This window comes from Homo sapiens, chromosome 3 (assembly GCF_000001405.40).
Source record: "Homo sapiens chromosome 3, GRCh38.p14 Primary Assembly".
Taxonomy (NCBI): Eukaryota; Metazoa; Chordata; class Mammalia; order Primates; family Hominidae; genus Homo; species Homo sapiens.
Genome location: NC_000003.12, coordinates 121377347 through 121404461, shown reverse-complemented (window position 1 = coordinate 121404461; position 27115 = coordinate 121377347). Strand labels below are relative to the sequence as shown.

General features: G+C 38.1%; 1 protein-coding gene across 11 annotated transcripts in view; it reads right to left on the bottom strand.

The window, feature by feature from the left end:
• Positions 1 to 27115, bottom strand: part of STXBP5L (syntaxin binding protein 5L) — a 516557-nt gene that overhangs the window by 20300 nt on the left and 469142 nt on the right. For 9 of the 11 annotated variants that reach the window (NR_145516.2, NM_014980.3, NM_001308330.2 and 6 more), the window contains 2 exons: positions 25576 to 25746; positions 22930 to 23169 (listed from right to left, as the gene is read on the bottom strand). Coding sequence is in view for 8 of the 11 variants with exons in the window: in NM_014980.3 (NP_055795.1) it covers positions 22930 to 23169; positions 25576 to 25746 (411 nt within the window). In the remaining 3 variants the exon portion in view is untranslated. Of the gene's footprint in view, positions 1 to 22929; positions 23170 to 25575; positions 25747 to 27115 lie in introns of those variants that run through there. The other 2 variants (XR_924217.3, XR_001740373.2) reach the window with 1 other exon arrangement.

The following is a 27115-nucleotide window of genomic DNA, read 5'->3' as shown; positions in this document are numbered from 1 at the left end:
GAATCACCCTACCTCCTGGGTGTATCCTAAAGGGAACCAAGGCTGGAAGCAGGGAGAGCAGTGAAGAGGTTAGTGTATTAGTGTGCGTGAAAAATGGATAGAGGCTTGGTTGAACTGTGTGGTAATAGTACAGATGGTGAGCAATGTCAGAATCTGAGTGTATTGTAAAGGTTGTGCCAGCAGGATTTGTTAACAAATTGGATTTAGGGTATGAAAGAAATATGGGGGTCAAGGGTGATTCCAGTGTTTTTGACCTGAGAAACTGGAAGAATGGAATTGTCATTAATAGATGTAGAAAAGTGTGAGAGGAATGAGAGGAATACCAGGAGCTCAGGTTTGAACATGTTAAGTTTGGGATACTTACTAAACATCCAAATGGATATCAAATAGCTGGATATATGTTAGGAATTTGTGGAGAGGTCCAGACTATAAATATAAATGTATGATCCATCAGACATTTAAAGGCATGAAGCTGGCTGAATTCATCTAGTGCTTCAATATAAAGAGAAAAGTTTCAAAGAATCAGTCTTGGGGCATTCTGGTTTAAGTCCACTGAAATGGAGGAGGAACAAGCTAAAGAGATTGAGAAGGAATAGCTAGAAGGTAGGAAGAAAATCAGGTGAAAATAGCACTCTAGAATTTGAAGTGTTTTAAGGTAGGAATGGTAGCCTGTGTAATACGTTGCTGATATGTCAAATAAGATGTTTCCTGAGAAATGACCAAGAATTCCTATCTCCTTTTCTGCTCTAATTTTTTCCTTAGTACTTATTAGTGTCTAATATCCCATATAATTACTTATTTATCACACATATTATCTATCTCTACCATAGAAAGTAAGTTTTATGAAGGCAAAGACTTTTGTCTGTTTTATTCACTACTATATTGCCCATGACTAATACAGCCTAGAACCCATTGTTTCTCTTTTTTAATGGAAGATATAACAATATATTTATATAATGATTCAGTAGAAAGAAAAACATTTATTATAAAGGAAACAAAGGAAAAATTGCTGGATTGACTTTCTTAAGTAGGTGAAAGCAGGTAAAGTCTAGTATATAAGTGGAGTCTAGTGTACAAACAGAGTCTAGAGTATAAGTGGAATATAGTGAATAACTACCACACAGTTCACACAAGCCTCTATCCATTTTTCATCCAGACTATTGTATTAACCTCTTCACTGCTCTCCCTGCTTCCAACCTTGATTCCCTTTAGGATAGGCCAGGAGATAGAATGATTCTGTTAAATGAATCACCTAGTTAGAAGCTTAGTTTAGTAACTGTAACAGGAGAGAATATGCAGGCCATGAAGATACAAGCAGATAGGTTGGTAGATGTGATGATAGCTGTTGAAGTTTTTATCTGATTGTTTCAATTTTCTCAATAAAAGAGGACACATGGTGATTGCTGAGATTGAAGACAGAAAAGCAAGTTTTGGAGATTTAAAGAGACTAGAGAAAATACGTAATTGTTAGCCAGGCATGATGGCATGCCTGTAGTCCCAGCTACTCAGGTGGCTGAGATGGGAGGATCGTTTGAGTCTAGTAGTTCAGGGCGACAGTGAGCTATGATTGCACCATTGCACTACAGCCTGGGTGACAGAGTGAGACCTCATCTATACCAAAACAAAACAAAACACACACACATACACACACAACCAAAAGGATAAACAAGAAAATATGCAATTGTTGTCCAGGAGTGCAGGGGCAAGGACTAGGAAAATATAGTATGATTACCTAGCAGCATAAGAGCCCACTTGAAGTTAGTGATGATTTATGGTAAAATGAGACACTTTAGTGTGGTTATGTATTTTTCTCTAGCCATATTCAGCTACATGGGTCTAGAAATAGGATAGGTAGAGTTGAATTTAATCAGGTTTGAGATTAAGCTGAATAAGTATGACAAAGCAAACAAAGCAAAAAGGAGGCAAGAGAGTTGACAATGCATGAAAGAAAAGCATTATAGAGCTTGACTGTGAAATTAAAGTTAGAAAGGGGGAACATGAAGGGGGTGAATGACAATGAAAATGGTAGGATCAATAGATTAAGGTTCCAGTGAGGCTGAAGAATTATATTAAAGTTGGAGTCTTAAGGAGCCTGAGATATTTGCTTTCCTTTTCCCTTACATACATTGTTTAAACTTTAATTGTCTCTCAACTTCCACGGAACTTCTCAATTCCTATCTAGAATGTAAGCTCTTTGAGGACAGAAACTTCGTATGACTTCGTCATTACTTTATCTTCAGTGCTTATTATAATATCTGGACATGTCATGTGCTCAATAAACATTTATTAACTTCCTGACTACTCCAGTTCAGTCTTAATTATGGATTTTTAAACTTCTATTTTATCTTATATACTCAAGATCAGCTACACAATTTGTGGGCCTAGCACAAAATGAAAATGCACTAGGCCTACAAATTATGGGGGACTTTTTGTTCAAAAATTGGGAGAACTAGCACTTTTCTGACCACTTTTTGTCTTCAAGGTTTTATTTGAAATCTCTTATGTGCTCATTGTCCTCCACCATTCTCTTTGTCACTGTAAATCTAATTCCTTTTTTTTTTTTTTTTATTATACTCTAAGTTTTAGGGTACATGTGCACATTGTGCAGGTTAGTTACATATGTATACATGTGCCATGCTGGTGCGCTGCACCCACTAACGTGTCATCTAGCATTAGGTATATCTCCCAATGCTATCCCTCCCCCCTCCCCCGACCCCACCACAGTCCCCAGAGTGTGATATTCCCCTTCCTGTGTCCATGTGATCTCATTGTTCAATTCCCACCTATGAGTGAGAATATGCGGTGTTTGGTTTTTTGTTCTTGCGATAGTTTACTGAGAATGATGGTTTCCAATTTCATCCATGTCCCTACAAAGGACATGAACTCATCATTTTTTATGGCTGTATAGTATTCCATGGTGTATATGTGCCACATTTTCTTAATCCAGACTATCATTGTTGGACATTTGGGTTGGTTCCAAGTCTTTGCTATTGTGAATAGTGCCGCAATAAACATACGTGTGCATGTGTCTTTATAGCAGCATGATTTATAGTCCTTTGGGTATATACCCAGTAATGGGATGGCTGGGTCAAATGGTATTTCTAGTACTAGATCCCTGAGGAATCGCCACACTGACTTCCACAAGTGCTAGTTGCAATAGTAGGTAGGGGATGCTCCTAGAGGTTAGGAAAGCAATCGTGGTGCCCTACAGAATTCAGAAGAAACAGTGGAGATTTGAAGGGAGACACACAGCTAAAAACTGATTTGTTATTTGAAAAATGAACAGAGCAATGCATATACTGCCTGTGAACCCGCATACTGAACACATGCAGCCAGGCAGCCTCTCAGGGGGCAACCATTGCTCTCATTTATTCTGTCATATGTTAATACTGCCTGCTCTTGGATTTCATATAAATGAGCAAAACATATAAAAAAAAAATTGGGAGAAGAGGTACCATTGAAGGTTGCAAATTATAAAGCTTTTTTCTTTCTTCTGTGGTCTATCTCTTTAGTGTTTTTATATTTGCTATTTATGTTCTATGTAAAGGAAAGTTAACTTTTTTTATTATTCATAATATTCTATATAAGAACATTTAACCTCTATTTTGAACTGTAGCAAAAACACAATAGCTAGTCTCCAGAGCTATGAAATGATTATTCACAGGGAGTTGGCCAGAAGAGACAAACCAGTCAGTCTCAGGAAGGTTGGAAGGTGGAAGACAGGGTCATTCAAGTCCAGACCAGACCTGAGGGAGCACATTCTTAGGTATGGGGATATCTCTTGCAGCTTGAGAATGCTTGCAAGATGACTGCAGACTTTCACAGGCATCTGAGGGTCTCACCACATGACTTCAGTTACTTAAGTACATTTGAGTCTGATGGCTGCTAAGTTTCTCCTCTTTACAGCAATAAGACCCCATCCTGCCACCTCAAACCATAGAAGAGGGGTGACTCCCAGAAAGTCTTTAAAACTGTTTGCTAGGAAGTGCTAGCTACCTGGAACAGGACTGGTTAAGACTCTCAATCTGAGACATGGCCTCTGGTTGGCCGATCACATGCTAGAGTCACCAAGTACTACCAACTCAGGATAAGGATGGCTGCTTCCATGCCCCAAAATGTCACCAGGCATGTGCCTGACCCCGACCACCTCTATGTATACTCCAGGCCCCAAAAGCAGTGGAAAGTGAAAGTGGAATGCCTCTCTCCCAACAAACTAAGTCATCGCCTGGGTGAGAGGTAGGTGGGAGGCAGACTGCTCATGAGCAGAGGCTTCAAGCCCCTGGTGCATGCTCCATTGTCTCATTGGTCTTTACTTACAAAGCATACATCAAAAGATAAAATTATTAAGAATTTTAAGACTTTAAGAGCAGAGGGCCTTCTGGGAGCAGAACCCTGTGCATCAGTAGACAAAAGGGACAAGTAAGGTTTCATTTTTGTAGACTCAGCACATCTGGGAACTTGCTAAAAATGCAAATTCTCAGACCCTCCCTCAGACCTACTGAATCAGAAACTTTGGGGGCAGGGCCCAGTAATCTGTGTTGTAATGAATGCTTCAAGTGATTTTGATGCAGACAAAAGTGATAGGTGTTGGAAACAGGCCCCCCAAAATCTGGCCATAAACTGGCCCCAAAACTAGCCATAAACAAAATCTCTGCAGCACTGTGACATGTTCATGATGGCCGTAACGCCCACGCTGGAAGGTTGTGGGTTTACCAGAATGAGGGCAAGGAACACCTGGCCCTCCCAGGGCCGAAAACTGCTTAAAGGTATTCTTAAGCCACAAACAATAGCATGAGCAATCTGTGCCTTAAGGACATGCTCCTGCTGCTGTTAACTAGCCCAACTTATTCCTTTAATTCAGCCCATCCCTTCATTTCCCATAAGGGATACTTTTAGTTAATTTAATATAGAAACAATGCTAATGACTGGCTTGCTGTTGATAAATACGTGGGTAAATCTCTGTTCAGGGCTCTCAGCTCTGAAGGCTATGAGATCCCTGATTTCCTTCTTCACACCTCTATATTTCTGTGTGTGTGTCTTTAATTCCTCTAGTGCCACTGAGTTAGGGTCTCCCCAACCGAGCTGGTCTCAGCAAGTGGCATCCATCATGGGGGCTTGAATCCAGGTTGAAGGGTCACTGGAGCAATGGTTGGAGAACATGGAACTAGCTGGAGGACACCCGAGTACTCTTAAAGCAATCCCCATGGTGAGTAAGAAGGGGAGCTCAGAAGCATCAGGGTAACAATGGGACAAGTGTGGGGTCTGGTTCATTCCACCTTGGAACTTTTTCACACTGATGAGGAGGAGGAAGGAGAGTATAATGAAGTACAGAAGAGGTTACAGACCAGGCTTATTTGCCAGCTAAAACTAAAGTGGAAAAGGAGGGAGAGGTTCATCCCTACCCTTCTGCACCCCCTCATTATTATTTTGAAGAAAAAGAGTGGCCTGACCCTCCAGATCTTTCTTTTCCGGAGGACACTGGGTGAAAAGTAGTTGCCCCAGTGTCTGTTCGAGCAGTGCCTCGAGCGACCACTCTTAGTTCTATTCAGGTAGGAATTCAGCAAGCTAGAAGAGAGGGTGATTTAGAGGCTTGGCAGTTCCCTGTTAGAATACAGCCCCCAGATCAGCAGGGAAATATTATAGCTACATTTGAGCCTTTTCCTTTTAAATTCAGGAAAGCACATTTAGTTGATTATATCAAGGCCTGTGATGGTATTGGAGGTAATCTGCATAAAGCTACTTTGTTGGCACAGGCAATGGCAGGACTGAGAGTGGATAAAGGAAATACTCATTTCCTGGGGCTTGTTTTAACTGTGGGAAGCATGGTCATACTAAAAAAGAATGTAGAAAAAATCAGCAAGTCAGGCCGCCAGATAAGGGAAAAAAGAAAACTGCTGAGCCTGAAATATGTCTAAAATGTAAAAAAGGAAAACATTGGGCTAAGCAGTGTCACTCTAGGTTTGATAAAGATGGGAACCCGATTTTGGGAAAAGCCATGAGGGGCCCATCCTGGGCGCTGTTCTAAACTGGGGCATTTCCAGCTCAGGCCATTCCCTCACCCCTGTACAATATCTGTCCCCCACCACAGCCGGTAGTGCCGCAGTAGATTTATGCTGCACAAAAGCTGTGAGCCTTCTGCCTGGGGAACCCCCACAAAAGGTCCCAACAGGAGTCTGTGGATCCTTGCCAGCGGGGACAATAGGATTACTTTTAGAAAGGTCTAGTTTAAGTTTAAAACGGGTACAAATACATACAGGAGTCACTGACTCAGATTACAATGGGGAAATTCAAATTGTTATATCTACTTCTGTTCCCTGGAAGGCAGAGCCAGGAGAGCACATGGCACAGCTCCTGATTGTGCCGTATGTGGGAATCGGAAAAAGTAAAATTAAACGAACAGGAGGATTTGGAAGCACAAATAAACAAGGCAAAGCTGCTTATTGGGTAAATCAAATTACTGATAAACGTCCTACCTGTGAAATAACTATTCAGGGAAAGAAATTTAAAGGTTTGGTAGATACAGGAGTGGACATTTCAATCATTTCTCTACAGCACTGGCTGTCTGCGTGGCCAATTCAACCTGCTCAATTTAACATAGTTGGAGTTGGTAAAGCCCCTGATGTATATCAAAGTAGTTATATTTTGCATTGTGAAGGGCCCGATGGACAACCTGGGACTATTCAACCAATTATAATTTCTGTACCTATAAATTTATGGGGAAGAGATTTATTACAGCAATGGGGAGCACAAGTTCTAATTCCAGAACAATTATATAGCCCTTAAAGTCAACATATAATGCATGAAATGGGGTATGTCCCTGGTATGGGACTAGAAAAAAATTTGCAAGCTTTGAAAGTACCGCTTCAAGTGGAAAGACGATGTTCCCACCAAATATTAGGATATCATTCTTGATGGCGGCCATTGTTAAGCGTCCAGAACCTATACCTTTAAAATGATTAACAGATAAGCCAATTTGGATAGAACAATGGCCGCTAAGTAAAGAGAAACTGGAGGCGTTAGAGGAATTAGTTACTGAACAATTAGAAAATGGGCACATAGCTCCAACATTTTCGCCTTGGAATTCTGCAGTTTTCGTAATTAAGAAAAAATCAGGTAAATGGAGAATGTTAACTGATTTAACAGTCATCAGTTCAGTTATACAACCTATGGGAGCATTACAGCCAGGATTGCCTTCTCCTGCTATAATTCCTAAAAATTGGCCTTTAATAGTCATAGATTTAAAAGACCGTTTCTTTACTATCCCCTTAGCTGAGCAAGAATGTGAACGGTTTGCATTTACAATTCCTGCAGTAAACAACCTGCAGCCTGCTAAGTATTTTCATTGTTTCACAGATGGGTCTAGTAATGGTAAAGCTTCTTATTCTGGATCGAAAAGTAAAGTTTTCCAGACACCCTATACTTCAGCTCAAAAAGCGGAGCTTGTAGCTGTAATTGAGGTATTGACTGCTTTTGCTATGCCTATTAATGTGATTTCTGATTCTTCATATGTGGTTCATTCCACACAGTTAATTGAAAATGCTCAGTTACAATTTCATACAGATGAACAACCGATGACTTTATTTACCCAATTGCAAACAGCAGTTAGAAGTAGAATGCACCCTTTTTACATCACTCACATTAGGGCTCATATACCTCTTCCAGGACCTTTGACTGAAGGGAATCAAATGGCTGATCACCTAGTTGCTAATGCAATATCTAATGCTAGACACTTTCACAATTTAACCCATGTTAATGCCTCTGGTCTCAAATGCAGATACAGCATTACCTGGAAAGAAGCTAAAAATATTATCCAGTGATGCCCAACTTACCAAATGGTACATTCTTCATCTTTTACAGGAGGAGTTAATCCTCGAGGATTGGAACCTAACTCTCTTTGGCAAACGGATGTCACACATATTCTCTCATTTGGGAGACTAGCATATGCACATGTATGTGTGGACACCTTTTTTCACTTTGGGCTACATGCCAATCAGAAGAGTCTCTGCCTGTGTTAAACATCACCTTTTGCAGTGTTTTGTGGTGATGGGCATTCCAGCCTCTACTAAAACAGATAATGCCCCAGGCTATACTAGCCAAGCTCTAGCTACATTTTTCTCCATGTGGAATATTAAACACATTGCTGGTATCCCATACAATTCTCAAGGACAAGCCATAGTGGAAAGAATGAATCTTTCCTTAAAAGAGCAGTTGCAAAAGCAGAAAGGGGGAAATAGAGAATATGGAACACTGCAGATACAACTGAATCTGGCATTATTAACTAAATTTTTTGAGCCTGCCCAAAGGCCAGATGTTATCAGCAGCTGAACAGCATCTACAGAAACCAGCTGCAAAGAGAAGCAGAACAACTGATTTGGTGGGGAGATCTGATAACAAAAAGTTGGGAAATAGGTAAAATAATAACTTGGAGTAGACGTTATGCTTGTGTTTCTCCAGGCCAAAATCAACAGCCAATTTGGATACCATCAAGACACCTGAAACTTTTTCATAAGCCAGATGCCGAGGAAGAGATTCTGGGAGGATCCCGAGGACCCCTCGGTTGCAGCCATGTCGAGACTGACGCTGAGGAGGACCCCAACTGTCACAAGCAACACCTGTCGAACACAGCCACCCACCTGGGGACAGATCAAGAAGCTGTCACAGCTGGTGGAAGAAAACCTGAGGAAAGCGGGACAACCACTCACAATGAGTAATTTAATGGTAGCTATGATAGCGGTATCACCATTGCTGTGAGTATTCCTTCAACAAGGGCTGACACAGAGAACAATTATACTTATTGGGCATATTTATCAAACTTGGCTGGCAATAATGCCTAGATGTAATCACTCTATGATGCAGTTGCACATGCTTTCTGATCTCAGTATTTATCATAATAAATCTGCTCCTATAATTGAGGCATACCACCCTCAAAAACCTATTTGTAAACAAAATGGAACCTGACCAGAAAAAAATGCAAGAATATTTTATTAATGACTAAAGGTTTAGCAGAAACAATTTAACATATGTATCATACTCATCTGTAAGACTATGCTTTTGGAAAACTCAGCCTTAATTAAAAGTCATAATTTTTAATTTCTTATTTGTTTGAAAAAATTTTCATCATTTTGAATTTATATTTCCACAGTCCAAGATTATTTCTTCTGTTTCAGACTTTTCTTATGTGAAATAGAAGAGTTTTGTTTTGTTTTCCGTTTGGTTTAGCCTGAAAAAAGATGTAAAATTGCAAATACCTCAAAACTACATGCCCAAGTAAGGATGTGTATAATTGACAGTCTTTCAATGTTTGCCAGTCACACATCTAAAGGGTTACTTACTATTTCTGCTCTATTAAGAAAAGAACTATATATCTAGTTCATTGAATTTTCACAAAGAATGATAATAGATTTTTTTTCATCTGTCTATATAAGAAGGGGCCCTATTCTGGCAAAAGTCTGAATTCATGCCACTAAAAAATGACAAAAGGGTAAATGAAGTTTTATTTTTGATAATAATACCTGAAGGGAATTTCATTTTTCTTCAGTGAATTTTAAAAATCTAAAAATCCTTTAAAACCCTCAACAGCCTGTAATCCCAGCACTTTGGGAGGCTGAGACGGGTGGATCATGAGGTCAGGAGATCAAGACCATCCTGGCTAACATGTGAAACCCTGTCTCTACTAAAAAATGCAAAAAATTAGCCAGGCGTGGTGGCGGGCGCCTGTAGTCCCAGCTACTCAGGAGGCTGAGGCAGGAGAATGGCCTGAACCCAGGAGGTGGAGCTTGCAGTGAGCTGAGATCGTGCCACTGCACTCCAGCCTGGGCGACAGAGTGAGACACTGTCTCAAAAAAAAAAAAAAAAAAAACCCTCAACAAACTAGACATACAAAGAATATGCTTCAAAATAATAAAAGTCATATATGACAAACTCATAGCCAACATCATACTGAACAGGGAAATGTTGAAAGCATTCCCTCTAAAAACTGGAACAAGATAAGGATGTATACTTTCACCACTCCTATGCAAGTCCTAACCAGAGCAATCAGGCAAGAGAAAAAAAAAAAGGCATTCAAATTGGAAGAAAGGAAGTCAAATTATTGCTGTTCACTGATTATATGACCTTATAACTAGAAAACCCTAAAGACTCCTTCAAAAGACTCCTAGATTTGATAAATGACCTCAGCAAAGTTTCAGTATATAAAAATCAATGTATAAAAATCAGTACCACTTTTATACACTAATAATGATCAAGCTGAGAACCAAAAGAAGAAATCAATCCCATTTATAACAGCTATTAAAAATACCTAGGAATACATTAATCAAGGAGGTGAAAGATTGCTACACGGAAAATTTAAAAAACACTAGTGAAAGAAATTGAGATGACACAAACAAATGAAAAAACATCCCATACTCATAGATTGGAAGAATCAATATCATTAAAATGACCATACTGCCCAAAACAATCTACAGATTCAACACAATTCCTATCAATTTGCCAACAGCATTCTTCACAGAAGTAGAAAAAATAATTCTAAAATTCATATGGAACCAAAACAGTCTGAATAGCCAAAGAAATCCTAAGCAAAAAGAATGAAGCTGCAGGTATCACATTGCCTGACTTCAAATTATACTACAAGGCTATAATAACCAAAACAGCAGAGTACTCGTATAAACATAGATAGATAAATGGAAGAGAATAGAAGACCCAGAAATAAAACTATATACCTACAACTAACTGATCTTTGAGAAAGTCAACAAAAGCATCCACTGAGAAAAGAACATCTTACTTAATAAATGGTTCTGCAAAAATTGTATAACCATATGCAGGAGAATAAAACTGGACCCATATCTCTCAACATATACAAAAAGTAACTCAAGGTGAATTACAGATTTAAATGTAAGACCTGAAACTATAAAAATGCTAGAAGGAAACCTAGCAAAAACTCTTGTGTGGACATTGGCTTAGGTGAAGAATTCGTGACTAAGACCTCAAAAGCAAATGCGGCAAAACTAAAAATAGACAAATAGGACTTAATTAAACTGAAAAGCTTATGCACAGAAAAAGAAATAAACAACAGAGTGAATAAACAACTTGAGGAATGGGAAAAATATTTGCCAACAATGCATCTGACAAAGGGCTAATACCCAGAATCTGCAAGGAACTCAAGCAATTCAAAAAGGAAAACACAAATAACCCCATTAAAAAGTGAGCAAAATACATGAACAGGCACTTTTCAAAACAACACATACAAATGGCCAAGAAACGAAAAAAAAAAATGTTCAACATCATTAGTCATGAGAGAAATGAAAATTAAAACCATAATAAGATACCATCTTATACCAGTCAGAATGGCTATTAATAAAAAATAAAAAAATAGACTTTGGCAAAGATGCAGAGAAAAGGGAACGCTTATACAGTATTGGTGGGAATTAGTTTAGTACAACTTCTATGGAAAGCAATATGGAGATGTCTCAAATAACTAAAAATAAAACTATCTTTTGATCAAGTGATCCCACTACCTGCTATTTATACAAAAGAAAAGAAATAATCATATCAAAAAGACACAAGCACGTGTATGTTTATTGCAGCACTACTTACAATAGCAAAGTCATGGGATAAACCTAAGTGTCTATCAATGGGCAATTGGATTAAAAATGTGATATATATATATATATATATATATATATATATATATATGCCATGAAATACTACTCAGTCATAATAAAATGAAATCATTGCTTTATACTTGACTACACACTGGGCTTATTAAGTGAATGACAAGGAGTTTGGTTTGTCTAGGGCCCAGGATATGTAGTGAAAGGTCAAAGACTATAAGGCTGGAAAAGAATGGTGGAGCTGGGGAATGGAAGGTCTAAATGCCAAGGATTCCTTTCAATTGCTATATAAAAGAATGTAAAGACTGCGGGCGTGTTCCAAGATGGCCGAATAGGAACAGCTCTGGTCTGCAGCTCCCAGTGTAATCGATGCAGAAGATGGGTGATTTCTGCATTCCAACTGAGGTAACTGGTTCATCTCATTGGGACTGGTTGGATAGTGGGTGCAGCCCACGGAGAGTGAGCTGAAGCAGGGTGGGGCATTGTCACCTTACCTGGGAAGCGCAAGGGGTGGGGGGATTTCCCTTTCCTAGCCAAGGGAAGCTATGACTGACTACCTGGAAAAACAGGGCACTCCTGCCCAAATACTGCACTTTTCCCAAGGTCATAGCAACTGGCAAACAATGTGATTCTCTCCCATGCCTGGCTTGGCAGGTCCCATGCCCATGGAGCCTTGCTTACTGCTAGCACAGCAGTCTGAGATTGATCTGCAAGGTGGCAGCCTGGCTGGGGAGGGGTGTCTGCCATTGTTGAGGCTTGAGTAGGTAAACAAAGTGGCCAGGAAACAAACTGGATGGAGCCCACCACAGCTCAACAAGGCCTACTATCTCTAGACTCCACCTCTGTGGGCAGGGCATAGCTGAAAAAAAGGCAGCAGACAACTTCTGCAGACTTAAACGTCCCTGTCTGATAGCTCTGAAGAGAGCAGTGGTTCTCCCAGCATGGTGTTTGAGCTCTGAGAACAGACAGACTGCCTCCTCAAGTGGGTCCCTGAACCCCATGTAGACTAACTGGAAGACACCTCCCAGTAGGGGCAGCCAGGCACCTCATATAGGTGGCTGCCCCTCTGGGACGAAGCTTCCAGAGGAAGGATCAGGCAGCAATATTTGCTGTTCTGCAATATTTGCTGTTCTGCAGCTTCTGCTGGTGATACCAAGGCAAACAGGGTCTGGAGTGGGCCTCCAGCAAACTCCAACAGACCTGCAGCTGAGGGACCTGATTGTTAGAAGGAAAACTAACAGACAGGAATAGCATCAACATCAACAAAAAGGTCATCTACACCAAAACTCCATCTCTAGGTCACCAACATCAAAAACCAAAGGTAGATAAAACCACAAAGATGGGGAGAAACCAGAGCAGAAAAGCTGAAAATTCTAAAATCAGAGCCCCTCTTCTCTTCCAAAGGATCACAGCTCCTTGCCAGCAACAGAGCAAAGCTGGACAGAGAATGACTTTGACAAGTTGACAGAAGTAGGCTTCAGAAGGTCAGTAATAAGAAACTTCTCCAAGCTAAAGGAGGATGCTCAAACCCATTGCAAGGAAGGTAAAAAGCTTGAAAAAAGATTAGACAAATGGCTAACTAGAATAAACAGTGTAGAGAAGACCTTAAATGACCTGATGGAGCTAAAACCATGGCACAAGAACTTCATGACACATGCACAAGCTTCAATAGTAGATTCAATCAAGGGGAAGAAAGGGTATCTATCAGTGATGCAAGATCAAATTAATGAAATAAAGTGAGAAAACAAGGTAGAGAAAGAAAAGTAAAAAGAAATGAATAAAGCCTCCAAGAAATATGGGACTATGTGAAAATACCAAATTTACGTCTGATTGGTGTACCTGAAAGTGATGGGGAGAATGGAACCAAGTTGGAAAACACTCTTCAGGGTATTATCCAGGAGAACTTCCCCAACTTAGCAAGGCAGGCCAACATTCAAATTCAGGAAATACGAGAAGACCAAAAAGATACTCCTCGAGAAGAGCAACCCCGAGACACATAATTGTCAGATTCACCAAGGTTGAAATGAAGGAAAAAATGTTAAGGGCAGCCAGAGAGAAAGGTTGAGTTACCCACAAATGGAAGCCCATCAGACTAACAGCAGATCTCTTGGCAGAAACTCTACAAGCCAGAAGAGAGTGGGGGCCAATATTCAACATTCTTAAAGAAAAAAATTTTCAACCCAGAATTTCATATCCAAACTAAGCTTCATTAGTGAAGGAGAAATAAAATCCTTTACAGATAAGCAAATACTGAGAGATTTTGTCACCACCAGGCTTGCCATACAAGAGCTTCTGAAGGAATCACTAAACATGGAAAGAAACAACCGGTACCAGCCATTGCAAAAACATGCCAAATTGTAAAGACCATTGATGCTATGAAGAAACTGAATCAATGAATGGGCAAAATAACCAGCTAACATCATAATGACAGGATCAAATTCACACATAACAATATTAACCTTAAATGTAAATGAGCTAAATGCCCCAATTAAAAGACACAGACTGGCAAATTGGATGAAGAGTCAAGACCCATCAGTGTACTGTATTCAGGAGACCCATCTCACATGCAAAGACGCACATAGGCTCAAAGTAAAGGGATGGAGGAAGATCTACCAAGCAAATAGAAAGCAAAAAAAGAGCAGGGATTGCAATCCTAGTCTCTGATAAAACAGACTTTATACTAACAAAGGTCAAAAGAGACAAAGAAGGCCATTACATAATGGTAAAGGGATCAACTCAACAAGAAGAGCTAACTTTCCTAAATATATATGAACCCAATATGGGAGCACCCAGATTCATAAAGCAAGTCCTTAGAGACATACAAAGAGACTTAGACTCCCACACAATAATAATGGGAGACTTTAACACCCCACTGTCAACATTAGACAGATCCACGAGACAGAAGGTTAACAAGGATATCCAGGACTTGAACTCAGCTCTGCAACAAGCAGACGTAATAGACATCTACAGAACATTCCATCCCAAATCAACAGAATATACATTCTTCTCAGCACCACATCAAACTTGTTCCAAAATTGACCACATAATTGGAAGTAAAGCACTCCTCAGTAAATGTAAAAGAACAGAAATCACAACAAACTGTCTCTCAGACCACAGTGCAATTCAAATTTGAACTCAGGATTAAGAAACTCACTCAAAACCACACAACTACATGGAAACTGAACAACTTGCTCCTGAATGACTACTGGGTAAATAACAAAATGAAGGCAGAAATAAAGACGTTCTTTGAAACCAATGAGAACAAAGACACAATGTACCAGGATCTCTGGGACATGTTTAAAGCAGTGTGTAGAGGGAAATGTATAGCACTAAATGCCCACAAGAGAAAGCAGGAAAGATCTAAAATCGACACCCTAACATCACAATTAAAAGAACTAGAGATGCAAGAGCAAACAAATTCAAAAGCTAACAGAAGGCAAGAAATAACTAAGATCAGAGCAGAACTGAAAGAGACAGAGACACAAAAAACCTTTCAAAAAATCAATGAATCCAGAAGCTGGTTTTTTGAAAAGATCAACAAAATTGATAGACAACTAGCAAGAGTAATAAAGAAGAGAGAAGAATCAAGTAGACGCAATAAAAATGATAAAAGGGATATCACCACTCATCCCACAGAAATACAAACTACCAGCAGAGAATACTATAAACACCTCTACGCAAATAAACTAGAAAATCTAGAAGAAATGGATAAATTCCTGGACACATACACCCTCCCAAGACTAAACCAAGAAGAAGTTGAATCTCTGAATAGACCAATAACAGGCTCTGAGATTGAGGCAATAATTAATAGCCTACCAACCAAAAAAAGTCCAGGATCAGATGGATTCATAGCTGTATTCTACCAGAGGCACAAAGAGAAGCTGGTGCCATTCCTTCTCAAAGTATTCCAATCAATAGAAAAAGAGGGAATCCTCCCAAATTCATTTTATGAGGCCCACATCATCCTTATACCAAAGCCTGGCAGAGACACAACAAAAAAGAGAATTTTAGAGCAATATCTGTGATGAACATCGATGTGAAAATCCTCAATAAAATACTGACAAACGAATCCAGCAGCACATCGAAAAGCTTATCCACCACGATCAAGTTGGCTTCTTCCCTGGGATGCAAGGCTGGTTCAACATACAGAAATCAATAAACGTACCCATCACATAAACAGAACCAATGACAAAAAACACATGGTTATCTCAATAGATGCAGAAAAGGCCTTCAACAAAATTCAACAGCTCTTCAGGCTAATAACTCTCAATAAACTAGGTATTGATGGAACATATCTCAAAATAATACGACCTATTTATGACAAACCCACAGCCAATATCATGCTGACTGGGCAAAAACTGGAAGCATTCCCTTTCTGGCACAAGACAAGGATGCCCTCTCTCACCACTCCTATTCAATATAGTGTTGGAAGTTCTGGCCAGGGCAATCCGGCAAGAGAAAGAAATAGGGGGTATTCAATTAGGAAAAAAGGAAGTTAAATTGTCTCTGTTTTCAAATGACATGATTGTATATTTAGAAAACCCCATCGTCTCAGCCCAAAATCTCCTTAAGCTGATAAGCAACTTCAGCAAAGTCTCAGGACACAAAATCAACGTGCAAAAATCACAGACATTCCTATACAGCAATAACAGACAAACAGAGAGCCAAATCATGAGTGAACTCCCATTCACAATTGCTACAAAGAGAATACCTAGGAATCCAACTTACAAGGGATGTGAAGGACCTCTTCAAGGAGAACTACAAATCACTGCTCAAGGAAATAAAAGAGGACACAAACAAATAGAAGAATATTCCATGCTCATGGATAGGAAGAATCAATATTGTGAAAATGGCCATACTGCCCAAGGTAATTTATAGATTCAATGCCATCCCCATCAAGCTACCAATGACTTTCTTCACAGAATTGGAAAAAACTACTTTAAAGTTCATATGGAACCAAAAAAGAGCCTGCATCGCCAAGACAATCCTAAGCAAAAAGAACAAAGCTGGAGGCATCAAGCTACCTGACTTCAAACTATATTAAGGCTACAGTAACGAAAACAGCATGGTACTGGTACCAAAACAGAGATATAGACCAATGGAACAGAACAGAGGCTTCAGAAATAACATCACACATCTACACCATCTGATCTTTGACAAACCTGACAAAAACAAGAAATGGGGAAAGGATTCCATATTTAATAAATGGTTCTGGGAAAACTGGCTAGCCATATGTAGAAAGCTGAAACTGAATCCTTTCCTTACACCTTAAACAAAAATTAATTCAAGATGGATTAAAGACTTAAATGTTAAACCTAAAACCATAAAAACCCTAGAAGAAAACCTAGGCAATACCATTCAGGACATAGGCATGGGCAAGGACTTCATGACTAAAACACCAAAAGCAATGGCAACAAAAGCCAAAATAGACAAATGGGATCTAATTAAACTAAAGACCTTCTGTCCGGCAAAGCAACTGCCATCAGAGTGAACAGGCAACCTACAGAATGGGAGAAAATTTTTGCAATCTACCCATCTGACAAAGGGCTAATATCCAGAATCTACAAAGAACTCAAACAAATTTACACTAAAAAACCAAGCAACCCCATCAAAAAGTGGGCAAAGGATTTGAACAGACACTTCTCAAAAGAAGACATCTATGCAGGCAACAGACACATGAAAAAATGCTCATCATCACTGGTCATGAGAGAAATTCAAATCAAAACCACAATGAGATACCATCTCACACCCGTTAGAATGGCAATCATTAAAAAGTCAGGAAACAACAGATGCTGGAGAGGATGCGGAAAAATAGGAATGCTTTTACACTGTTGGTGGGAGTGTAAATTAGTTCAACCATTATGGAAGACAGTGTGGCAATTCCTCAAGGATCTGGAACTAGAATTACCATTTGACCCAGCAATCCCATTACTGGGTATATACACAAAGGATTATAAATCATGCTACTATAAAGATGCATGCACACGTATGTTTATTGCAGCACTATTCACAATAGCAAAGACTTGGAACCAACCCAAATGTCCATCGGTGACAGACTGGATTAAGAAAATTTGGCACAAATATACCATGTAATACTACGCAGCCATAAAAAAGGATGAGTTCATGTCCTTTGCAGGGACATTGATGAAGCTGGAAACCATCATTCTCAGCAAACTATCACACAAGGACAGAAAACCAAACACTGCATGTTCTCACTCATAGGTGGGAATTGAACAATGAGATCACTTGGACACAGCGCAGGGAACATCACACACTGGGACCTGTCGGGGGGTGGGGACCTGGGGGAGGGATAGCATTAGAAGAAATACCTAATGTAAATGATGAGTTGATGGGTGCAACAAACCAACATGGCACATGTATACCTATGTATCAAACCTGCACATGGTGCACATGTACCCTAGAACTTAAAGTATAATAAAATAAATAAATAAATAATGAAATTATTGCCCTTTGCAGCAATGTGAATGCAGCTGGAGGCTGTTATCCTAAATAAAATGACTGAGAAAGTCAAAAACTACATGTTCTCACTTATAAGGTGGAGCTAAACAATGGGTACACTTGAACATATGAAATAGAATAAGAGATACTGGTAACTCCAAAAGGTGCTAAATATTGAAACCTATAAATGGGGAGTATATATGTTGACTATTGTGTATGAGGCCTTTATTATTCTTGTTCAGTCAAATATAATGATTATGTTTGATTTTACAATGTTATTATTGTATTAGTTCTTATTGCAGTTTAGAAGAGATAAAATGTGTGAATTTCATAAGTATATTTGAAATATACCCATCTTATATCAAAAGACCTTAACTAAATAATACTTTAATAAAGTTTTTCATCAAGGTTTAGACTTAGCATTAAAAATAATATCATTCTAATTTCAATTAAATAATTTCCAGACAAAGCCTATTAACCAGTTTTATATTATATCCATAAGAAAGCACATTAACCTATTTTCATATTTATATAAATTAATTTACTAGTTCTTCAATGGAGAAATGGACTTTAATGGAATTGAATGCTGGAAAATAAGTTTGACTTAGGGAGTAAGGCTGGGACAACTCTAGAGTAGACAGGGTAGGTCCAAAAGTGAAAATTCAATGATGAAAATAATACTGGTATATGACCAGTATGAAGGCAGTGAGTAAAAGGGATCAGAAGAAAAAAATTGAAGTTATGGAGGCTATTTAGGTAGTATGATGGCTATTAATTACATTTCTGTTAATATTCTACTACTAACAGAAATGAAAGAGTGTTAAAAATAACTAGTTTGGAAGTTGATATGGTTTGGATGTTTGTTCCCTCCAAATCTCATGTTGAAATGTAATCTCCAATGTTGGAGGTAGGGCCTAATGGGACGTATTAGATCATGAGGATGGATCCCTAATGAATGGCTTAGCGCCATCTCCTTGGTGATTAGTGAGTTCTCTCTGTGCTAGTTCACATAAGATCTGGTTATTTAAAATTATGTGGTACCTCCCTCCTCTCTCTCTTGCTTTTCCTCTTGCCATGTAATGTGCCTGTTCCCTCTTTGCCTTCCACCATGACTGGAAGCTTCCTGAGGCCTCACCAGAAGCTAAGCAAATGTCAGCACCATGATTCCTGTACAGCCTGAAGAGCTATTAGCCAATTAAACCTCTTCTCTTTATAAGTTGCCCAATCTCAGGTATTCATTTATAGCAATGAAAAAGCATCTACCACTGGGGTAAGGAGAATGAATTTATTCTGGAGAATCTTGACTTTAATCATGAATTTAAATCTTGAGTTTGATTATGAGAGATATATATTTTATATATACACATATATATTATATATGTTACAAAGCATGCTAGGTACTTTGTATGGCAGAACTGATCATTATAGAATAATTTATAGTTGGCAGCATAAAGAGTTAAGTAGAAATAAATAAAACTTAAAATGAGTTTTAACAAATTTCTCACCAAGTTGCTAGTGGAGAGTAAAATTCCTAGGGGAGGAAATGAGGATGGGGACGGGGACAGAGAAGGGACAAAGTTTGCTAGTGGCAGAATTTTCATTTTTTTCCTTTATATTTTGATTTTTACAATTATAAAATTTAAAATTTAATAACTAGATCTTGAAAAAAAACCCAATGTTTTGCATCACAAGTTTTGTACTGAAAAAATAATCTACTAGGTAGTCTTTTCCTTCTTCACGATTTATAAGGCACTGTATAATCATTCCCTGCCTATTTTTCCATCCTCATTTAGTATCATTCTATCTACAGTCTCCAGCTATGCCATGTCCTCTCTTACTTCTAGATTTTTACTCACACTGTACTGACTTTAGTCTTTCAAAAAAATTTTTTTTCTAGAGACAGGGTCTCCCAGTGTTGCCCAGGCTGGTCTTGAACTCCTGGGCTCTAGCATTCCTCTCACTTTGGTCTTCGAAAATGCTGAGATTACAATTGTGAGCCACTGCGCCCAGCCTCTGAATTACTCTTAAACGCCAGTACTGTACACTTCCTCCCAAACTTGTCCAACTTCCACTTCAGATGTCATCTTTGTTAGGGAGCTCTTCCCCAAATCCCCCTGCCATGCTGCCATGGTATTCTTTATTTCTCTTAGTGTAATTTCCATTATTATACTTTCTTTATTGTAATTTTGTGTTTAATTTTGTTTTTCCCTACAAGTCTCCGAAAACAGGGACCACTGTATCCCCAGTGCTTATTTCGGTGGTATGGGCTTGGTAAATGTTTGTTGAATGAGTGGATAAATTTCAAAGTAGACTGTTTTCAAGTCTAAGGAAACTATTTGACTCATGAATTTTCCTAGGCCGACTAACAAAAGTTTATTTAACAACGTTCTCACAGGAAAAAAGATGCATTCAAGGTCAGAGAGCATGTCACTCACTTCAGCACTGACAATGGACAAGTGCTAAATGCCCCTAAATCCAAACCTTCTTTAATGGTTCCCATAAGCTATGGCAGCAACCATAATAACATAAACAGTACCCATAATAGTTCCCATAAGCTTGGGCAGAGACTCATGGGTATAGGAAAGAAAATAAATATGGCAAGGAGAGTGAAGACCGGGACAGTTAGTCAATAAGTAGGCTCTGAAAGAGGAAGCACAAAATTTTCTACTTTAAATTTAAACAAGATTTCTGTCACCCTTATCTTTTCCCTCCTTTCTTTTTACTGCCATAAATTATGGCTCCCAAGTAGACTTTCTTTCTTGTAATGGTTAATTACAGAACAAACATGGGAACCCAGACTCATGGCTTTCTCCTTTATATACATCTTTATTCAACAAATTAATAGAGTGTATTTTTAACAGCAGTTTCAGATTTAAAGAAAATTTAACAGATAGTATAAAGAGTTCCCACATACCCCTTCTGTCATTTCCTTTATTATTAACATCTTGTATAAGTGTGGCACATTTGATTTAATTAATTTTTTTATTATTTTTCATTGAGATGGAGTCTCACTCTGTCACCCAGGCTGGAGTGCAGTGGTGAGATTATGGCTTACTGCATGCTCATCCTTCTGGCTCAGGCACACACACACCATGCCTGGCTAATTTTTAAAAATTATTTGTAGAGATGGGGTCTCATTATGCTGCCCAGACTGGTCTTGAACTCCTGGGCTCAAGCAATACTCCTACCTTGGCCTCCCAAAGTGCTGGGATTATAGGTGTGAGCCACTGCACCCAGCAATTTTTAAAAATATATATATTTAAAAAAATTTTTTGGTAGTGATGGGGTCTCACTATGTTGCCCAGGCTGGCCTTGGATTCCTGGCCTCAAGTAGTCTTCCTCCCTCAGCCTTCCAAAGTGCAGGAATTATAGGCATGAGCCACTGTGCCTAGCCAATGAACTGATGTTGACACATATTATTAACTAGAGTCTTGAAAGAATAGTGACATAGAGACTTGGAGAAGATAGCTTCCCATTAAATCTTATTAAATAGATAAAGAAAAAGTTTTCAAATATTTACAAAATAGTGTCAAAAGTTAAATCTATACTTATTTTGTATTTTGTCATCATTTTTTGGTCTAAGTATATGTGCTAAGAATGACAAAGAATTTCCCTATAATATTGAGAGATCTGCTTTATTAGTCCAGGGATTGCTTATTTCTATGCTTGTGATACAGAAAACCACAATTGTTAGAATATTTCTAATTACGAAATTGTCTTTCACTTACAGCTTTAAACTTGTGTGACAGTGGAAGCTGACTGTACCTTTAAACTTGTGAGGAATGCCCGGTACATATTAGATGTCCAATATATATAATCTTTTATTGAGTTAAATAATGAATTGAATTAATAATTAATAATTCATTATGGTATCACTGATTTGACTCCAACTAACTCACCAGTCAAAAGAATTGTGTATATTTCTTTATAATTAGGAATATAGTAAAATATATTTTTCATTGTGAACTATATGTTAAAATAAAATTGTCATCACGATTAACTTTTAAAACACAAATCTGAATTTGCCACATTAGTAGAGAACTGACTATTCTACCTACAATCTTGTCATATGAACTTAGCACACTAGTTAAAGAAAACACAAGTGTAACCTTCTATATAATATATATCCTTTTAAAATAAAACCCTTATCCTGCAGAGTAATGAAATTTTTTGACTTAAAAACTATCTGAAAATTTCTTATATAGGAAACAGGGAAACAATAAAATTAGTGATAAGAACAAATTAGGAATAACAGGAGGAATCATACTTATCTCTTCTTCAAAAAAAAAAGATAATTCAAGGAGGAAGAGAATACAACATATGCTTGGCAACAATACTTACAACATTGGTCAAATTCTCTAGGCACTAGCATGAAAAGGAAAGAAATTGTGTGGCATGCTTTTGAAACAAGATGGGAAGGTTATAAAAGTCTTTAGAAATCCACCTTAGGTCAGATAGCTTCTAGCTTAATTATTCTGAGTTCTTCAAGGATGATGTAAAAACACTCATGCTCTGATCTGGCATGGAACTTTGGGTAATGCTTCAATTTGTTAAAAATAAATTTAAGTTTTGCATTAAGGTTTTCCTCAGTGCTTTTCAGGAACTTATTTCCCATGTCATTGTTCAGGTTGGCACTTACACAGTTTACTACCGAAGAAATGGTTGTACTCTTTTACCCCAAAGGAAAGTTACAACATGACAGATGTTGGGATGGTATATGATGTATAAAATTCTTAATAGTTCCCATTGTGCAGAATACTTATAACCTTTGCTCCAAATCAATACAAATTTATGTTTATAATACCTTATATCTAAATTTGAAAAAGTAACAGTGAAGGAATGAATGAATACAAACTCTTACCACTTGGCAATACCATGACTGGCTCTGTAAACCTTTGTTCATCTGCTAATGGTAGGTTTAAGGAGATGATTAACACCATTCCCAGACTGGTTCCAACGAACAGACAAGGAGAGATGGTAGAGTCATTTTTCCGTGCAAAGGAGTCCATGAAGTATAGTGCTGTAATTGCTTCTTTAGAATCTTTGTCAATACTGGAGATACTAGAGCTTCTAGAACGATTATAGGAATTTTCTCGGTTTTCTATGGAAATAAATAAAAAAAAACCACACAAATTGTTAGTATATTTCCACAATAACATCAGATTTAATATATATAAATCAAAATTATGAGGAGGAAGTAAAATTTCATTGTTTGTTAATTGACCTGAGAGGGAGCTTATCCAGTTCACCAGCTTATTTTGAAGATGGAGAAACTGAAGTCTAGAAGTATAATTCATAAGCTTAGGCAGACCTAGGACTAGAATTGGAGGCTCCTGAGCTCCAGCTCACCATTTTTCTTTCTCTACGTTAACTCACAAGTTTGTTGAAATTCTTTTACCTAGAGAAAAGATTTAGTCTAAATAGTAATGGTTACAAGAATTTCTGACATCACTTAAATTGTGCTTCCCTCCTACCTCTGAATTGTTGGAAGAATCCCTAACAGTTTCTTGTCAGTTCCAATGACAATACTGTGGCGATTGGCATGAAAGGGCTTATCAGGATCACAAATCTTCTGCGGCAAACATATTCTATATCTGGGGTAATTACAATTCTAAAAATTAACATTTCTACCAAGGCCAAAATGCAAATTTTATCTCCCTGAACTGGTTTCAGGCTGTTACCTTTAATTCAAATGCAGTCCTAACTTTGCCTAGGGCTAAACAAAGAGTACAGACTATATGCCATCCTGTTGATAGTGGTAATCTTTCTGAGAGTGCTTCAGCTCACTTAAAAAAAAAAACAGGATGGTTTCAGGTTCTCCTCTCATCAACACTTGTACATGTGCACGCTCCAATAAGCATAAACTCATACAGCTCAGTGAAATGTTATCAAGGTTGTCCTGCTCTTATAATCTCTCCAGAGTACAAGTTCTTCAGATTTTTCTTTCTACAGCCTTCACTCTCTTTTCCCTCTTGATAGGTACACATGTAACTCATAATTGTTTTTATAGAAAGAGGATAAATACAGGCTCCTCAGACTTTTTTCTAGGAAACAAAATATAGTATTCCTAATTTCTCCTTTTTATCTCTTAGCAAATTTATAAAAATAATTGTTTGTCATAAAATTTAGAGATGAGAGGGAGCTTGGAGGTTATATGTTTTACAGATTTGGAGACAAACTTAGAGTTTAGTAATTTTCCCAGAATCCAGGACAAATTAGAGGTAGAAGTATCTAAAATTCAAAATTCCCACCTCTCATTACAGTGATTGAGAGTGCTACTTCTGGCTGGTTGTGGTGGCTAATGCCTGTCTGTAACCCCAGTGCTTGAGGCCAGGAGTTCAAGACTACCCTGGGCAACTTAGTGAGACACTGTCTCTACAAAAACTGAAAAATAAGCTGGATGTGGTGGTGTGCACCTGTACCTCCAGCTGCTTGGGAGGCTGAGGCAGGAGCATCACTTAAGTTCAGGAGTTAGAGGCTGCAGTGCACTATGATTATGCCACTGTAATCCAACCTCAGCAACAGAATGAGATCCTAACTCTTTAAAAAATAAAAATTAAAAGGGGGCTACTTCTTTTATAATCATTACATATTGCTTCTTTTATAACATGCTAGATATTATATGGCTCCAAATCTTTTCCATTCATGGTTCATCACCATACAAAGTTGATACTCACAGACACCTGTTAGAGAAATAACATCATTATCTGCATATCTAAGGGATCAGATTTAGTATAGCATAATATTTAAAAAACCAAAAACTTAAATATAATTTTTTTAAATTTGAAGACCAATATAGATCACTGTCAAAAGTTTTCAGGAGTAGTAAATAGAGACTTACTTCACAGCATAGAATTACTATAGCAAATCTTCCTAAAATTATTTTTTTCCTATCTCTTTCTCTAAAGTTCCTTATCAATAAGACAGTTGCAGCAAAGTTACAAAATTCCCTTTTTTTGCCTCTGTAAAAATTTCTGGTCTCTGGCTCTTGTAATTTACTCCCCTACCCCACCGCCCCACACTCATTCCATAAATAAGCAAATAGACCTTCCTTTTAAAAATATATGAAGATGAAAATTGCAAACTTTAGAATTTAATATCTTGCCTTTGTTCTTGGTCACATTCATTTGACAATTGAGGAAATTAAGGTTGCAATACATTAAATATCTACAGATAGAGACACCAAAAAGCTTACCATTGGGATTGAAATAAACTCTTAATTATTATGGGAAGGGTAGGGAACAGATTTAGGCATAGGTCTCCCTTTGTACAGAGGAGGGGGTAGTTACCTATAAGCAGAGGCATTCTGGTTTTAGAGGTGAGGAAGGAGGTGGAGTGAGGAATGGAGTTGGAGTTATGGCCACAGCCCCATCAGGCTCTCAGGTATTCACTGATTAGTAGTTTTTTAACATCTTTCATATGTGATCTCCATCCCATATCTCTGTTCCCATTACCATTGTAAACCAAATTTTAACTGTAACAAAAAAATTTAATATGTTTAACATACCTTCTGTTGTAACTGGTAAAGAAATCTCCATGCAGGCTGCTGACTGGGCCTTTCGAAATGGTGGTCTTCCAGGACCCCAGCGATTTACTTTTGAAACATCGGCACTAGAAAGACGTTTTCCAGAACTGCAACTCTGAGAAGTTGGACTTGTGCAGTGTCCATTTACATGGTCTGTGCCAAGAGGAGGAAGGCAGCATACATATAATGATTAACTCTTAATACAAAGGAATACAAGCGTGTAGATTAACAAATGAAGATGAGCAACAATTCCTTTATTTTCTAAACCACATGAATATAGTTAAGTCCTTGTTCTTTTAAGACTTAGTCATAATTTTAGTAGTTAGCCAAAAATTTCAAAAGATATTTATTAAGTATAAGATTCATTTTTTTATATTTTGGCTGTGTAACATAGATTAAAATTGGTTCTATATCTCTACCATGTATTCTGTCATTATAGTATTAAACTTTTTGTTGCATAACTTAAATATACAATGAAAGTACTTTAAGTGCTTGGAGTTTAAAAAGATAGAATAGAAGCATTTTAAAAAAAATTTTACTTTAAGTTCTGGGATACATGTGCAGAATGTGCAGGTTTGTTACATAGGTATACATGCACCATGGTGGTTTGCTGTACCTATAAACCTGTCTTCTAGGTTTTAACCCCCACATGCATTAGGTATTTGTCCTAATACTCTCCCTCCCCTTTCCCCCCACCCCCCGACAGGCCTCGGTGTGTGATGTTCCCCTCCCTGTGACCATGTGTTTTCATTGTTTAACTCCCACTTATGAATGAGAACATGTGGTGTTTGGTTTTCTGTTCCTGTGTTAGTTTGCTGAGAATGATGGTTTCCAGCTTCATCCATTTCCCTGCAAAGGACATGAACTCATTCTTTTTTATGTCTGCATAGTATTCCATGCTGTATATGTGCCACATTTCTTTATCCAGTCTATCATTGATGGGTATTTGGGTTGGTTCCAAGTCTTTGCTATTGTAAATAGTGCTTCAATAAACATATGTGTGCATGTGTCTTTATAGTAGAAAGATTTATAATCCTTTGGGTATATACCCCATAATGGGATTGCTGGGTCAAATGGTATTTCTGGTTCTAGATCCTTGAGGAATCGCCACACTGTTTCCACAATGGTTGAACTAATTTACACTCCCACCAACAGTGTAAAAGTTTTCTATTTCTCCACATTCTCTCCAGCATCTGTTGTTTCCTGACTTTTTAATGATTGCCATTCTAACTGGCCTGAGATGGTATCTCATTGTGGTTTTGATTTGCATTTCTCTAATGACCAGTGATGATGAGCTTTTTTCATATGTTTTTTGGCCACTTCTTTTGAGAAGTGTCTGTTCACAGCTTTGCCCACTTTTTGATGGGGCTGTTTTATTCTTGTAAATTTGTCTAAGTTCCTTGTAGATTCTAGATATTAGCCCTTTGTCAGGTGGATAGATTGCAAAAATTTTCTCCTACTCTGTATGTTGCCTGTTCACTCTGACAATAGTTTCTTTTGCTGTGCAGAAGCTCTTTAGTTT